This window comes from Homo sapiens, chromosome 10 (genome assembly GCF_000001405.40).
Source record: "Homo sapiens chromosome 10, GRCh38.p14 Primary Assembly".
Taxonomy (NCBI): Eukaryota; Metazoa; Chordata; class Mammalia; order Primates; family Hominidae; genus Homo; species Homo sapiens.
This window is the reverse complement of record NC_000010.11, coordinates 4,240,638-4,257,113: the sequence shown is the minus strand read 5'-3', so window position 1 is coordinate 4,257,113 and position 16,476 is coordinate 4,240,638. Positions and strand designations below refer to the sequence as shown.

General features: G+C 40.9%; 2 long non-coding RNA genes across 2 annotated transcripts in view; one reads left to right on the top strand and one right to left on the bottom strand.

The window, feature by feature from the left end:
- Nucleotides 1–262: 262 nt before the first annotated feature.
- LOC105376369 (uncharacterized) lies at nucleotides 263–10,068 on the bottom strand. The gene is made up of 2 exons (XR_930588.2): nucleotides 9,754–10,068; nucleotides 263–1,294 (listed from the first exon to the last, which is right to left on the bottom strand). It is a non-coding gene; the product is annotated as an uncharacterized LOC105376369 (long non-coding RNA).
- Nucleotides 10,069–13,201: 3,133 nt separating this feature from the next.
- LINC00702 (long intergenic non-protein coding RNA 702) overlaps nucleotides 13,202–16,476 on the top strand; it is a 37,037-nt gene continuing 33,762 nt past the window's right edge. The window contains exons 1-2 of the long non-coding RNA NR_108040.1: nucleotides 13,202–13,291; nucleotides 13,427–13,610. This is a non-coding gene — a long non-coding RNA (long intergenic non-protein coding RNA 702). The remainder of the gene's footprint in view (nucleotides 13,292–13,426; nucleotides 13,611–16,476) is intronic.

Below are 16,476 nucleotides of genomic sequence, written 5' to 3'. Positions count from 1 at the left end.
TAGAATGGCCAATTCCACATAGAAGGCCCAGGACGGGCTTCATAAAGAAGATTCTGTTTAATCAAATACTTTAAAATTAATAGGTTGACTTCAGCTACAGAGAAAAAAAAAGAGAACACTCTAGGGAAAGGGAACCAGAAAAAGTAGATCAACAAAATTCAAATGTGTGCATCAGCATGGTTTTGTAACCTAAGTATAAGTGGAAATTCCTGTGACCTGGGATATCTGGATGCATATTCAAAGAAAAAACAGGCCAACTAAATACATAAGTTAAAGAATTTAATTAATTATAAAACATTTGAGAGACTGTCCAAAGATAAGATGACCATATTTTCTTTTTTGTGTTTATTAAACTATTCATTGAAGAAAAAAATACCTACAGAAAAGGCAACACATTATGTGAATGGTTTGATGAATTGTCACAAAGGGAACACCGCTGCATAACTACCACCCAGGTCAACACAGAAACCTCCAGAATTTTCCCTGTTGTGGGATCAAGCTGGGGCCTCAGGCCAGGAGGAAGGACTCACTGATTCGAGTTTCTGTGTGTCCCATTTGACCGCCTGGCTTCATGAAGGCCAGACAGCGGAAGTCACAGAGTCAGTGGCCCTGAAAACACAGTTTGATATTTCCTTCTTTGATTTTCTGTAGCTACTGACAGAAGAGAATTCAAGCCTCCAGCACCACCAGGTCTTCCGAGAGAATAGATTTTCCATGCATTGAGAAACTACCCCATCCTCTCCTCTAGTGTAGAATGTCGTTGCCACTTCCAGCTCCTTCATTCCGTACTCTGCAACCTTCACTTACTTTGTTCCTCTGTCTCTGTTTTCTTTAGTTTTCTCCACCTAGAATTCTCTATATTCACTTAAGACTGGTAGATACTTGAAATCCTCAGTTGACCTTTCTTTTCTGGGCATACAGTTACACTAAGTCTCCCTGCTTCCCTCTAAAATAGAGGTGGTTGTGTGAGTAAATTCCTACCAAGGGAATAGGAGCTGGTATGATAGGCATCACTTGGATTATGCCTCCACAGAAAATGGCTTTCTAAGTTCCTTTATCAACTTCACCAACAACATGCACAAGACAGGGCAGAGCCATGAGGAACAAAATGAGTCCCTGAGTCATCATGTGGAGGGGAGCTTCCTGACAACCAGGAATGTAGTCTGAAATTTTTCATGAGGAAGAATAGAACTCTTGTAGGAAGCCACTGGAACGTTGGTGTACGTTTGTTACATCAGCCAGTGCTACTCATATACCAGCCAGCAGCAAAGCCAACGAGCAGGAAGCATTCACCCTGTAGAAAAGAAAATGCATTCATGTGAGGGATTTTAATGTGCATGCATGAAGGAAATATGGACTGTTGGGAGAAAGGGGAGGGGATTGAGGATACAGGCCCTAAGAGGGAGGAGACAAGAAGAAAGCACTTTGCAGAAACGTGAGCTCATGCGCGTCCTCTGTCACTGTGAAGTCTTAGCTTATTGCTGGAGCAAGAGGGATAATGACAATCACTGGGTAGGAAAGAGATATGATGGCATTGTGTTTCCAAATGATCACCATATATGCAACTAGACTAAAAGGTGGAGGCAACGAGAGCAGCCTCTAGTCTCTTCTCAAGCCAGGCTCCAAGACCATGAGGTGAGACAGTAGCAAAAGAGAAGTGGAAGGGCGAGAGAAAGGGGTAAAAGAGTCATCACTCATGAAAACAGAATTCACCAGATCTGGTTGTAAGTGAAAAGAAAATGGAAGGCAAAACACAGAGACAACATGTTCAGTGGTTGATTGGATGTGGAGAGAGAGAGGGAAGGTTGAACAGGTGGAGCACTGGATATTATCAGGGCAAGGAATCAACACTGTGTGATGCTGCAACAGAGGATGCATTTATCAAAATCCATAGAATGTGCAACACAAAGTGGACCCCAGCATCAACTATCGACTTTAGTTAATAATGACATATCATCGATAATATTGGCTCATCCATTGTAACAAATACACCACATTAATGGAAGGAGTCCATTATAGTGGAGGCTGGAGCAGGAGAGAGGAAGCGTCTGGGAACCTGAGTACTTTCCATTCCAGTTTTCTCTAAATCTAAACCTGCTCTAATAAATAAAAGCTAATAACTCAGGAAAAAATGGATGCTTACAAGTTATAATTTGGATGCATGTTTTAAGATATGATTGTACATTCCTAACCTGGTTTATGTCTTCCTTTGTGTAGATCTTACGTCATGCTCATCCTGGAGAGTGGGAAGAGGAGGCCCTTCTCATGTTACTTTGTTGTGTCATCACTTATAAGATTAGAACTTGCCATCATTGCTTAAACATTCAACCACTAGCTTTAAACACTTTAAGCTAAGTTAAAAAAAAATCACCACAAGTTCAGTTTTAAAAAATCGTTTTCCATTTTACAGTTACTCAAACAAAAGAAATGAAAATTTGAGTGACTTAATTTTGATCTCCTTCCAAGGGTGAGCAGAGGCTGACAATGAAGTCATTACTAAGCTCCAGAATTTTCCCTGTTGTGGGATCAAGCTGGGACCTCAGGCCAGGAGGAAGGACTCACTGATTCGAGTTTCTGTGTGTCCCATTTGACCGCCTGGCTTCATGAAGACCAGACAGCGGGAGTCACAGAGTCAGTGGCCCTGAAAACACAGACCACTTGATATTTCCTTCTTTGATTTTCCGTAGCTACTGACAGAAGAGAATTCAAGCTTCCAGCACCACCTTCAGAAGGTACCACTGGAGTGAGCCACTCTAGACCACAGCCCCAGATCCAGTTTCAGACAAATGTTTTCCCTCTGTAACCACTGCTGCAGATCCCTGGGCTGAGGAAGATGAAACGTGATCACTAGTCTACAGGATGCACATCTAGGAAGAGCTTCTCTCAGTATCCTATTCCCGCCCGAAACACGAGCCTCTCTCAGCTGCACATGGGTGGGTTAGCCACCCTGGGGATCCTCGAACCCAAGAAGGGACAAAAATGGGTCACCAGGACCTGCCCTTCCACTGAACTGGGGCCACAGGCTCTCGCGTCATGTGTGGGATGGCACCAGAGTTGGGAGGGTCTTTACTGAAGGGACATGGGCAAAAACCAAGTGGAAGACAGGTTCCGACAAGATTCTTCCACTTGAAAGAAACTTATCAGGGTTCAGAACAGGGTATCTCCACCTCCCAGGTGACTACTGGTTTTTTGTTTTGTTTTGTTTTGTTTTGTTTCTTTTTTTTTTTTTTCTTTTTGACATGGAGTCTTGCTCCTGTCGCACACGCTGGTGGAGTGCGATGGTGCGATCTCGGCTCACCGCAACCTCCCCCTCGCAGGTTCAAGTGATTCTCCTTCCTAAGCCTCCCGAGTAGCTGGGATTACAGGCTTGCACCACCACGCCCAGCTAATTTTTGTATTTTTAGTAGAGACAGGGTTTCATCATGTTGGCCAGGCTGGTCTCGAATTCCTGACCTCAGGTCATCCACCTGCCTCGGCCTCCCAAACCGAAGTGCTGGGATTATAGGCGTGAGCCACTGCATCTGGCCCCCAGGTGACTATTAATACTTTTAGGTCTTATCGTTCCTTGTCGTGGAGGGCCGCCCTCTTCACTGTAGGATGCTTAGCAGCATACCTGGCCCTGACCCACTAGATACCAGCAGCAATGTCCCAGTTGAGACCATCAAAAAAAGTCTACAGACATTGCCAGATGTTCCCTGGTGAGGAATGAAGGGTCACAAAAATCACCCCACAATGAGAACGACTGGTATAGGAGATGCCCCTAATGTTACAGGGACTGGTGTTGGACAGGACAATAACGCTTACCTACTTTTCAACTTTTTAACTAGTAGCTGCTATGCGGTGCCCAAAGAAATAATCCACTGGATTCATAGTTCAGTAAATTATCTCTCCATTTTCAAAGAAAATGAGGGCTGAGAGCTGTCTATGCATCCATTCAACACAGAGCAGGTGAGGCTGAGTTTTAGCAAGCAATTTCACCAACAGAGCCTCCCAAGGTACTAAATCCCACAACAGAGAGGCTGCTTCTGATACAAAATGTATCTTTATGGGGAAAATTGCATCAGAATAGTTCATATGAAAAGGCCAAACTGCATGATTCATTTTGGAAGAGTATTTCTAAAAGTGAGCCCTATTTTAAAAATTCACATTTTTATTTTTATCCAGGACTCTGATAGTTCCACTAGAGATCAATGATTCGTTCTCAGAGGGGAAATAAGAAGCTGTTGAATCTTGGTCTTCTATTGCTTGAAACCATTCCACCTCTGTGAACTCATTTCATATTTTAAGCTCCCAAAAAAGACTAAAAAATTTAACAAACTCCCATGTGACCACATATTGCTAATAGAACAACTTATAATTTTTAAAATGTCCACCTTTCTGAAAAGATACTTAGTATCATCCGCCATAGGATAGGTTTCAGTGCAGTTCCGTCCCAATTTTGAGCTCATCCAAAACGTTCATATATATGTATTAATTTATCTGAAATATTTTCATTGAGACTACTTTATTCCAGAAATTATCCTAAGCATTGGGAATGATTCTTTGGCTAAAAGGCATGAGAAAGCCTACATAAGTCTGACAGTTCCATAGAAGATACACTCAGCTAACTGGAAACTGAAATCTTATGCTACAAGGTCTATGGCTGGGAGTGCAGGGTGCTTCTGTGTGGAAAGCACATAACCTAGACCCAGGGCCATGCAAGGATCCCCGTGGGCACAAGAAAACCCTGGCAAGATAACAGCAAGGAAGATTGTGCTACGCAGAGGCACATGCAAGCCCCACATCATAAAGGAATTGCTACTCTGTGGTCTCACATGTAACTACAGGACTGGCATGCCTGATGTATTAGCCTGGAAGATTCACCCCTGTCCTAGGGGAAACACAGAAGGGAGGATCATGTGCAATGAGGATGGTGGTGAGAATGACCCCCTCCTGGCTCAGGTGCAGGTGAGTCCCTCTTCCCTCAGATGCTTCACAGCCCTTCAGATTGGACTCAAGTTCTCTCCTCCTGGAAGCCTCCACTCCAGCTTTGATTTTTCCCTTCTCAAGTTGGCTCTGACTTTCTAGAAGATCCTAAGTAGGCTTCCTGTTAGGGTTCCAGAACCCTAATTGCCAATACTATTCAAATAGGCACTTATTATACACTTTATCACTTATGTGTTTCCTGTACAAATTCTTTTGACTTTTTAGAAAAAAATATCGCATAAATTCTTTAGGCATGGAGAATGCCTACCCTAAGATTTGCTGTGTTGTTTTGTTTTGTACCCTTGCCCTGTGAGCCTTACTCAGTTCTACAAATAAATGGCATTTCGATCTGCAAAGAAGTGACTCAAGCAAGTGTAAAACAAGAAACAAACAAGCACATATGAGTAGAAAATAAACTACTCTAACAAATTGACCTCAAATGCAATGGTTCATTGCAATACCACATAGAAGTTTCCTTCTCTGTCCAGTGGTAGTCTAGGGTGGATAGGCAGGTCCATCCACAAGGTATCAAATCCAGAACCAGGTGACCTGAGCAGCTCACCATCCTCAAAACACATTATCCTGAGATGCTCCAATCTTTGCAACTTACATCTAGCAGGAAGGAAAGAGGTCTTTTAGATTCAAGTTGAGCATATCATGGGTGCTCATAGTCTCCTGATGAGAACTGGATCCCATGGTTATGTGGGAGCTGGGAATTACAGTCTTCCTGGACACCTCTGACCAGGAAGAATGAGGAACTGATGTGTGCAGAGAAATGAGTGTCTCCTCCACCAAGCTCACCTCTTTGATACTCTCAAGCCTATTTGCTAGCTCCCATCAATCCATTATAAGCCCTTCCTTTTGCATCTCTACCATAGGTAGAAGTACGGAAAACATTCTAAGAAAATGTTACTTCCAAAACTGTCGAAAAATAATTATCTGGGATTTGTGTATCTGCAATAGAATAGAAAACTACTCCACTATCCCTGTACCCCCACCATAGACCAAAGAAAAACAATGGTTTAACTTTTTGAGCTAAAATAAAAGAATCATGATGAAAGAGCTATTTACAAATATGACATTCTTTTATGTACTTTTAGATAGAAGACATTTATCAGCAATGGTATCTAAAAACTGCAAAAGTAATTTATTGCTGAGCAGGGACAATGCACATTAAATTAATTTTTAATTTTAGGACTTACAAAATATGACAAAGGAAGAACAACAGAAAACTTGCATAACCCAATTGAAAGTAGGTAAAAGACTTGAATAGATATCTCCCTAAATAAGGCATAAAATAAGCCAATAAACTCATGAAAATTGTTCAACATCACTAATCACTATGGAAATGCAAATTAACACCACAGTGAGATATTGCCTTATATGCATTAGGATGACTACTATTAAAAACAAGAACAGAAAATAAAACAGAAAGTAACATGAGTTGGCCAGGTGTAAAGCCGTTGGAAACCTTGCATACTGTTGGTAGGAACATAAAATAATGACGTAGCCACTATGAGAAACTATGGTGGTTCCTCAAGAGTTAAAAATGGAATTATTACATCATTCAGCAATTCCATTTATGGGCATATATACTTGAAAGAAGTGAAAACAGAATATTGAAGAGATATTTGTACACCCATATTCATAGCAACATTATTCACAATAGCCAAGAAGTGGAAGCAACCCAAATGTTCTTTGGTAAATGAATAAACACAATGTGGTGTCTACATACAATGGAATATTTCTTGGCCTCCAAGAGGGAGGACATGTTGACACATGCTACACAGATATTTTAAGACCGAGGTGTAGATACTGCAGGGAAGTAGAGCAACACAGGCCAAGGAAGACAAAAGACTGAGTGAGACCAAATGGCGATGAGTATCTACCCTGAGGATATGATATTTGAGCTCAGGTTTGAAGGATGAGTAGCAGTTAGCCAGAGAAAAAGGGACTCTGAGGGATGTGGCAGTGGGAGTAAGACTGAGATCTTATGTACGAAAGTCCCTGGCAGGATAAAAATTGGCACATTGTAGGACCCAATGTCTCTGAAACACAAAAAGCAAAGGGACAGCAGAGGGACACAGCCACATGAGACAAGAGGTAGCCCACGGAGAGGTCATGAGTAGGCTTTTGCTTTTTAAGAGGCAAGGGAGAGGTCAGGCACAGTGACTCATGCCTATAATCCCAGCACTTTGGGATTACTTGAGGTCAGTTGTTTGAGACCAGCCTGGCCAACATGGTGAAACCCTGTCTCTCCTAAAAATACAAAAATTATCCAGGCATGGTTTTGGGCACCTGTAATCCCAGCTACTCAGGAGGCTGAGGCAGGAGAGCCGCTTGAACCTGGGAGGTGGAGATTGCATTGAGCTGAGACTGTGCCACTGCATTCCAGCCTGGGTGACAGAATGAGGCTGTCTCAAGAAAAAGAAAAAAAGGAAAGGGGGAGATAAAAACAGAAGGATTTTAAAATAGTGGAGAGGGTCATGTAAAAAACATTTTTATCTTGAAAAACCCTTCTGGCTACAGCATGGAGAAGTTCCTAGAGGACTCTTGGAATGGGTGCAAAGATAACAGCTAATAGCTTTCTCAGTATCTGGGGCAACAGATGATGGCAGGTTGGGCCAAGGTATGGTAACTGAGATGGGAATGACCCAGTGGCATCACGGGGAGATTGTAGGTGTGCAGTAGGATATGGGTTTTCCAATTTCAGAAGAGCTGTAGCGCTCCTTTGTTATTTTAGTGTTTCATTGATGTTGAGCTGACAATGGGAATTGTGGGAGTGAATAGGAAGAGTCTAGAGTGAATATGAAGATGACCTGCACTTAAGTAACTCCAACACAGATTGTTCTATGTTTAGAGGTGACACTGAAAAAAAATAAAAATAAAAAAGACTGAGAAGGCTAAGTCACTGATGTCAGACAAAAATCAGTGCAGGTCGTCTACTTGAAACCGAAAACATAAGTGTTTCACAAAGGAGAGATCAGTAGTACAAATGCTCTTTCATAGTTAAGGAAGATGCATGGAAGTTGTCATTAGATTTGCTGGCCTGGGAATCATTGGTGGTCAGGAATATATCAGTGGAGTTAAGGGGGTGGCGGTCAGGCTGAGGGATTAAGACGTGAAAAGTTGGTGAGAAGACAGCGGCAAAATATAGTCTATATTCTTGAGACACTTCCCTGGGACAGGGGAAAGATGGGTCTATAAGTAGGGAGGGATTTTGTTTGCCTGTTGTTTTTTCAAATGACCTAATAGAGATAGGTTTTAAAAATATTAAACTAATATATTTTCCTATATATTCTCAATGAAACATGTTCTCTGGCGCTGTTCAATCACCACAGCTCTAGGAAAGAGGGAGAGCAGAAGCCAACAGAGGACGGGAGGAGATAAGAAATAGGGTAACACCTGGACAGAAAGGTGGAAGCACGAGAGATGGAGACAGAAGGGGGCAATGTTGGGGCACACATTCTCCGACCCTCTTTCAGAAGGGGAAGGATTTTGAGCAGCAGCTAGGAGGAAAGGCTGTCTCTCTGGGATGAGAGAGAAGACTGATGAACAGGGTGCCCACTTACCCACTTATGATGCTGCTGTCATTACCTATAATGCAGTATCTGTGAGCATGCAGCTTGGTGAGGCGGGGAGAGCCTGGGGTGATCTTTCCTGAGGCATCCTTAGGGTGTCTGCAATATGATAGCAATGCAGTTGTTTTCCTTTGCCCAAAGGATTAGGAGGGTTCTGAGTACAGAGCCAAGGAGCTTTTCTGGAGGTGCTTCAACAAACCAGCCGAAGTCTGCAGGGAGAGCTGCACTGGCTGAGGACTGAATGGGGTCAGATCCAGATGCCAGGGTGTACGTACTGACCTCAAGGCCTGATATTAGATAGATAGAGTCCAGCTAAATCACCAAGTCATGAGAATACACTGAACTCACCACTCAGAGAACTGGAATCAAGTGTCACTAGGGCGTCTAGCAACCAGAATGACAAGGAACATCTTCAGGGACACACAAGAAGCGTGAACCAGGAGAAGGAGTTATGCACGGGGCCCAGGCAATTCCCCCTTGCTCAGGAACCTGGAGGAAATCTGAGTTGATGAACAAGACCATGTTTCCTGAACACACTTTAACATTTAGAATCAGTCTTAACTTTCTGGATTGGGTATTAAGGGGAAGTTTGAATCAGCTTTAAATTAATAAATAAGCTTCTGTTCTTTGTATGTGATGTGCTCTTTGAACTTGATGTGCAGAATTTGGGAGCCTCACTAAATGGGGAAGATGTGGGCGCATTGATTAATGAGGATGGTCCAGGTAAGAGTGAGCTGATGAGTGTAAGGGAGAGAGATTTTCATCGTAGGATACGAAGCTGCTGAACGTTAAAAAGTTAAAATGTTTCATCCAAACTTTTTTCATGCCACCCCACAAAATCATCTTCTAAACAATTAGTTTGGGACTTTCTGTGTGGGCCCCCCCTTTTTTTTTAATTACAACACCATCACCTTTTGCCTTTCCCTAAATCAACACACTAAAGTCCTGCTGACATAATCTGCTTCCGGAGAAGAGGTTCTGCATTGTGTCTACAAAGTTTCCGTCAAGTGAAAGTTGGCAATGTAAGTCTGTGTGAAATTGTACCTCCATAGAAGCAGATTTTTGAATACCTTTCTTCATCAAAATGCTGGCAGCGAGAAGTAATCCTGATCCCACTGTATTTACTTGTCGATCCTGAATAAGCAATGCTGCATTTTTATTCGATCATAACTTAGACAGTTGCTCCATGCCCTCTCCCATGCCTTACCCTTGTGTGTGTTCATCCTCAAAGCAGGACCAGTGTAAGAGAAAACCCAGGGTACATGGAGCCATGTTTGCCCAGCTTCTTTCTTTCTTAGGTTTCTTTTCCTCTCATACCTTCAATGGGAAGCCAGAGCTTCTCTAACCTCAAATTTCATTATTTCTTTGCTCTCCCAATCCCAAGCCAGTAAAGCACTGACCACAAAAATTAAACTAAAAATTAAACTACGTTGGTGCAGTGATTCATCTCATCCTCTTGTGTTACTCATCATGTAGTGAGTACCCCTGAGATTAGAACAGGAAACAGACAAGGATCCCTAAATTACTTATTTGACAATGAAATCGTATTCATCACAGAAGGTCAGTAGAGAAACTTAGATGTGTAGCTCATGGCCACGTGTGCCATGTTTTACTTAACAATGATGTTGTTGAGGATGGTGATGATAAGATAAAGAAATATTCTGAAAACCTTCGTGGAAGAGCAAGTGGAATTTGATAGCAGTGTGCTGGTTTTTAAGAATGCCTCTAGAGGACTTAAAAATAGCCATTAAGCAGTTTTGCTGAAGCAATTAGAAAACCTTAGAAGAAAGTCCTCAGACATTTAATCAACGTTCCCTATAGCTGCATCCTAAAAATAAACGTGAAGAAAAACAAGAATATACTCTGCATTGCAGTAGGAAAGTTTGGAAGGCAGAGAAAGATAAAAAGTTGCAAAAGAAAATGGAAAATGAAAGCAAAGTGATGTGATAACTTTGTAAGGTAGCATCTAGGCTCAAACGAACTACATTCTCAAGGACAATCTTTCCTATGTTTCTTAATGTTTGTAGCCACTGTTGTGGAAGATTTAGCCTGGGGAAATGGAGGAGCAGCCTTTCCTCTAAAAAAACAAGTTAATATAGGGTCTTGCTCTGTTGCCTTGGCTGGATTGCAGCAGTGCAATCTCAATTCACTGCAGCCTCTGCCTCTTGGGCTCAAGTGATCCTCCCACCTCAGCCTCCTGAGTAACTGGGACCACAGGCATGCATCACCAAGCTCAGCTAATTTTTAAATTTTTGTAGAGATGAGGTTTTACTGTATTGTCCAGATTGCCTTTAAAAAAAAAAATCTTACATACATTGTCACTTATCTGCAGATATTGATGGGAGGCACCAGCCGAACTTGCATCTTCCTCTTTTTGAAGCTTCTTTGATTCCTGGGCTAGATGTGTGTGTGTTTAGCTCCATGACACAGAGTCCCGTCCTCTGCACCCACATAAGCAAAGGTGGAGGTGATGAGAACTGACATGAGCTCAGTCTGTCATTTGGGCTTCAACCTGTGCTTCTGGGGCCCAGCTCACCATTCCTCCTCCACCCTATACCCATGTTTTCTTCTCAGGTGTCCAGTCTATGGACTTCAAGATCCAGCATTAGACACAAAGGCAACTCTGCAGAGATGGTTTAACCAGCTCCCAATGTTGTGTAAGGTCAAATACCTGAAGACAAATCTGTAGAGTTGCTATATTTCTGGTTTAAACCTGACTTACACAGAATTTGGTACTAAGGGTGGTTTCAGAGGAATGGGATCTTAAGGGTACAGTTTTTGAGTTGTTTCTGTGTGTGTGTGTGTGTGTGTATGCGTGTGTGTGTGTGTTTGGAATTGTTTTTCTGATCTGATTAGATTTAAAAGCACTAAGTACCCTATTCACAGTGGTAAAAGAGGGGTAAGTAGTTCCTAGCATCAGATGGAGAGGTCAGAAAAAAAAAGAAAGAAAGAGAGATAGAGAGACAGAGAGAAAGAGAGAGGGGAAAGAAAGAAGGAAAGAAAAGGAAGAAAGAAAGAAAGAAAGAAAGAAAGAAAGAAAGAAAGAAAGAAAGAAAGAAAGAAAGACTCAAATTATCACCTTTACACATCTTTTATTAAGTGCCCATCTGAGTAACCAAGAATTTATTGAGTTTGACCATTTTAATGAAAATGATGAATATAATTGTGTTGGTTGGCTAGTTCTAACTACACTGGAGAAATTCAGGGCTTTAAGTACCAAGATCAAGTTCTATATAAGGGTCCTGAAAGCTTCTAGATTGGTCCTGAAAGAAATCCTATCTCCTGTAGCCAGAGAGCCAAGGTTTTTGAACAGGAAACCCAAAGTTTCATCCTGTGGGTGGCTGAATTATAGCCAAAATTGAATTCCAAACCTCATAGAGTCTCTTTTATTAAATTTAGGACATTTACTGGGAAGGAGTGGGATTCTGAGGTTTGGGAAGGGAATATATGAGCAAATTCTAGTTAATCTGGAAACCTAGAGCCCTTAATTCTGACAGCTTTCCTTGCCTTCTTGGCCAGTAGAAGCAGTCTGCAGCCGTGCCTGAGGAAGTTAGTCTCCCTTTTCTTGAAGAATCTCTAATGCCCACCACCGCCCATTAGTACTGCATTGAGAGCCCTACTAATCTTCATTAAGTTCTACTCCCACTCCTTTTTCTTCCTTTTAGACCTAGAGTTGACTCAAGTCTCAAACCTGTGATGGGATATGATACACATCCAAAGAGTTGCATGATCTGCCAATTAATATCAACAAACCCTGGGAAATAAGAATGACAATGTATCTTAAGAGTGTGGGATTAAGATGGAAATAATATACAATTGTATCATGGTATATGTTTTGAAGCGGATTTATTGATTCAGTGTCTTAGCTTGAGGGTCTAATAATGGCACTAATAATTTTCTCAATCGGTTGGCTGAATCATGGAACCAGAGGTGACCTATACGACTTGAGGTTAAAATGTCAGAACGTTCTTGGTATAACATCGAGAAACATACCCAAAGGCTCAGGGAAGTTAGAATGCAAGAGTGAGTTCCTGTAGCAGACCTGCTCACCCACCTGGATGTGCCTTTCCCTCAGCTGAGCCGCAGTGCAGACTTCATACTCAATTGTAAGCCATGGCATTACCAGTCAACGTGAGCCATCATGAACCCGTCATTATCTGATGTACTTTTCCAAGGATTTTATTACATGTTATTGCAACTCAGGGAGATAGGCAAGATTTATTCTATTGCTACTTTTCTGAGTTGAGAAAATTGAAGTTCACTTAACATTATGCATTTTGAATATTGATAAAAATAGTACATGTATCTGTGTAGCTATCAATTTGAATAGGTGAACAATCACGATAATAATGGATCGATAGTAAATTTATTCAGTTATGAACAGTGCATTCAACCACATCTAAGGATAAATATTAAGCAAAAACAATTCAAGTCACAAACTTAAAATACTCTAAGTAAGGTCATGCCAAACTACTTTAAGAATATATCTGTGGTAAAAATACATTCTAGGCTACATTACATAGAGTGAGATTTGTGGGAAATAACTTGCCCTTTTCTTCTATTAAAGGGCAGAGTTTTTTGGAAAAAAAAAAAGATAGTTCAATTTCCTCTCTCCAAGCTGTCTTTTTAAAATAACATAACATAACACATAGTTTGACACAACTCCACATGACTCAGAAGCCCTTCTTAAAATAAGACCAGACCACATTCATGGAGGCTGAGTCACCTCTAACCTTCCAAACTTGGTGAGGATTACTAACCAGAACATATTTTTATTCCTAAGATAGTATGAGAAAGTTCTGATCTTGACAGTTCACGTAACATTCAATCAATTATACCATTGCTCTATCTCTAAAGTTTTCTTTTTCTCCTTTTCTCAGTGTCTTACCAAGAATGAAAGGCAACCTATGTAAAAACTATGGGCTTTCTAGTATAAATAAAAACTACTCATCTCCAGAAAATAAACAATGACTGCTAAGATGATTGAAAAAAGAAAGGAGAAGAAAGTAGCTTGTAAAAGCGTGTGAAATGCATTCACGTTGGAATCTCCTACAGGCACTTCAGGTAAGAATTCTACCTTATCCTCTGTGTTTTACTCCAGAAAAGCATTTCCTTTTCCAGATCCAGGAAAAAAAAAAACTTTTTAAACAAAATTCAGCATTTTTTAATTAAAAATTGACACTAATGCGTATATCCTAGACTGCACTGCATTGCATATTATGCTGTTGTGTGTGATAAGTTTACGTTTTCACGATTCTGTCTGAAAGCTTAAAGATGTATGTTTTACAAAAATAGCTCTAGTACAATAGGACAATAAAACGTGAACTCTTGAAGATCTGAATTGGAATTATTTTCTGACAGACTATATTTTCAATTTCTTTATTTGATAAATGAAGATGGATAACATTGACCTCATGTGTAACTACAACGAATTCAAGGGTGTGGACATGTTTTTCAGGTCTTCAGACTGTAAACATTTTAAGTGTGATTGCTGTGAATGAAGGAAACCCAGAGCCATCATGACAAGCCTAAACTCAAAGGGGACTGATTTCTTCTACACTGAATGTTTCATTAGTGACAGGGCCCAGATAATAAAGAATTGTGCTCACTTCCTGTGAGTGATGGCTTTCCCTCAATTGTATGCTGAGTAACATTTACAGTATTCATTTTTAAGCACCCATCTTCCTGGGAGCCCTATTTCCCCTAAGCTTTCAATTGATCCTCCTAAGAGCAGAGATCACTTAGGCACTGAGCTATGCAGCTGCTGCCTGAGTCTCCTGGACGCCTGCCCTCACCTCCAGCCACATGAAAAACATTCAAGCTTTAACTTCAGAAATGTTCTCTAACCCACTCCCAGACACCCAACTGATTAAATCATAGATTAGAGGAAAAAATTCTTGCCTGAAATTGTCATCTTGCACGTATGCTGATGTCCAGAAGGACACATCCTGGTGGGAAGTGACTGCATGTTTTGTTCATATTACAAGTCCTGTTGACAAAAGAGAATAATACAGGTGTCCTCCTGAAACTGTCACCACAGTGACCTTCCTCAGTCAAAAAGAAATATAAATATTATTGTGTTTCTCGTGTCTGAGGCACCTCTGAAAGCATTTATCTTTTCAGAGAGTTCAGCACTTCATCTCACGGGTTAATTAAACCAACCTGTAGTGGCAAAGTTTAGTGGTAGTGAAAATAAACATAATCCTCTTTCTGTTGCCCAACCTTTCAGTTTCATTTTGTAATTTTTCAATACAGGGGCACAATAAGTGATAATCCTGGATTCCAAATGATTTCCACTTCTTTCTCTGCCACCTTCCCTGCCCCAACACCTGCCATCCCTCATTTACACAATTCAAGTAATCAAGGGGCAGTTTGGCTCCCTTTTTCTGGAGGCAAACTTTTGCAGAGTTTTAACTTACTCAGTGGGAAGAAAAGCCCCCAAAACACTGAAGCATACCAAGCAAATAAATAAATAAATGCACAAAGGCTCCCTGCGGTTGTCTGACGAGGATACTGGAGCAAGCAGCCTGAAGAACAAACGTCTGACTGTTGAAACAGCGAGACAGGAATAAACCCATGGGGCCACATCTGGGAGTGTGAGTGTGTGAATGGAACTAAGCTGGTCTCCCACACAACAGGAATTCCACCAAAAGTATGCGCTCTGTATGGGAGGACAGAAAAAAAATGTGTTTAAAATATCACTAAGGAAACCCAGATACATTATCTCTGCCAGACTACAGAAGACAGTACAGTTAGTGCTTGTCTCAAAATGACAGAAACAGAGAACATGCTTTGATGATGTCGAAGATGCAGGAAAATAGAAAAATAAAAACGGTGGAAAGATTTTTTTTTAATGCCCTAAAATGAGCAAGACGCCTCCCTTTTCATAGCACCAGGAGACATTTCCATTGCTTTTTTTTCATGCTTGTGGCTTTTTGAGGGCAAAGAGTAAGTGAAATCCAATAATTTGGTCTTTCTGCTCCAAAGTTTTGGCTGCCATAAACTTATTGTTCGAATATCAGAATGGTTGTTCCTGCTTTGACGCCTGTGAAACAATTTGTTTCAATATCATAGCACAGTTTTAAAAGTATGTTTTGACTCCAGAAATATGTTTGACCTCAGAATTTTGAAAGCGTGTTTTGACCTTTAAACTCTTACTTCAAGAAGACATATGTGTGCATGTGTGTGTTTGTAGGGTGTGTGTGTGTGTCTTGTAGAATCTCACATTTTATTCAGTAGCTTAGCTCCATTTCAATGCCAGTTAAATTTTAGCATTATAATAATACAATGAATTACTCTCTAAAAATAGGTTGAAATGTATTTCTATTTGTGAAGTTTAGGCAAATGACACCATCTGCAATATCCTTTAACAGATTAGCTATTGTAAAGGCATCATCTTTAGGAATAATACTTTTCTGCATCATAATAATTTCCTGTTATTCCTAAGGCAAGTGCTGGATGATTGTTGTTTCAGTGTGGATCAGCCTGACTTCAATCCATCTGTGCTTCCCAGGGCCGACTCCTGAATTCCTCCTCCATGCCATCATACCTTATTGGCTCTCCTGCTGTTACGTTCAGTCATAATGTTAAAAACTCAGACTATTAAAATGTAAAGATATGAATTCTTTTTGAAATTGTCAACATGGAAGAGTCTATCTACAGTCTGCTTTTAATTTAGCCGCAAAATGACTTAGCTGATGCAACAATTTCACATGCTGAGGAAGAGTTTTCGATTGCCGAATTAGTGTGATAAAGTGATGGTGAGGTTTTCTGTTGACTCTGGAAGCAACAACAAAAATGGTGGTGCTCTTCTCCATACCCATGTTCATAGATATATCGTTACAGATGACACTCAAACTTTGATTTTTTTTCTTTTTTGGCTGACTGCTTGAAACACATGTAGCCCCAGGAAACAAGTAGAGCCACCCCA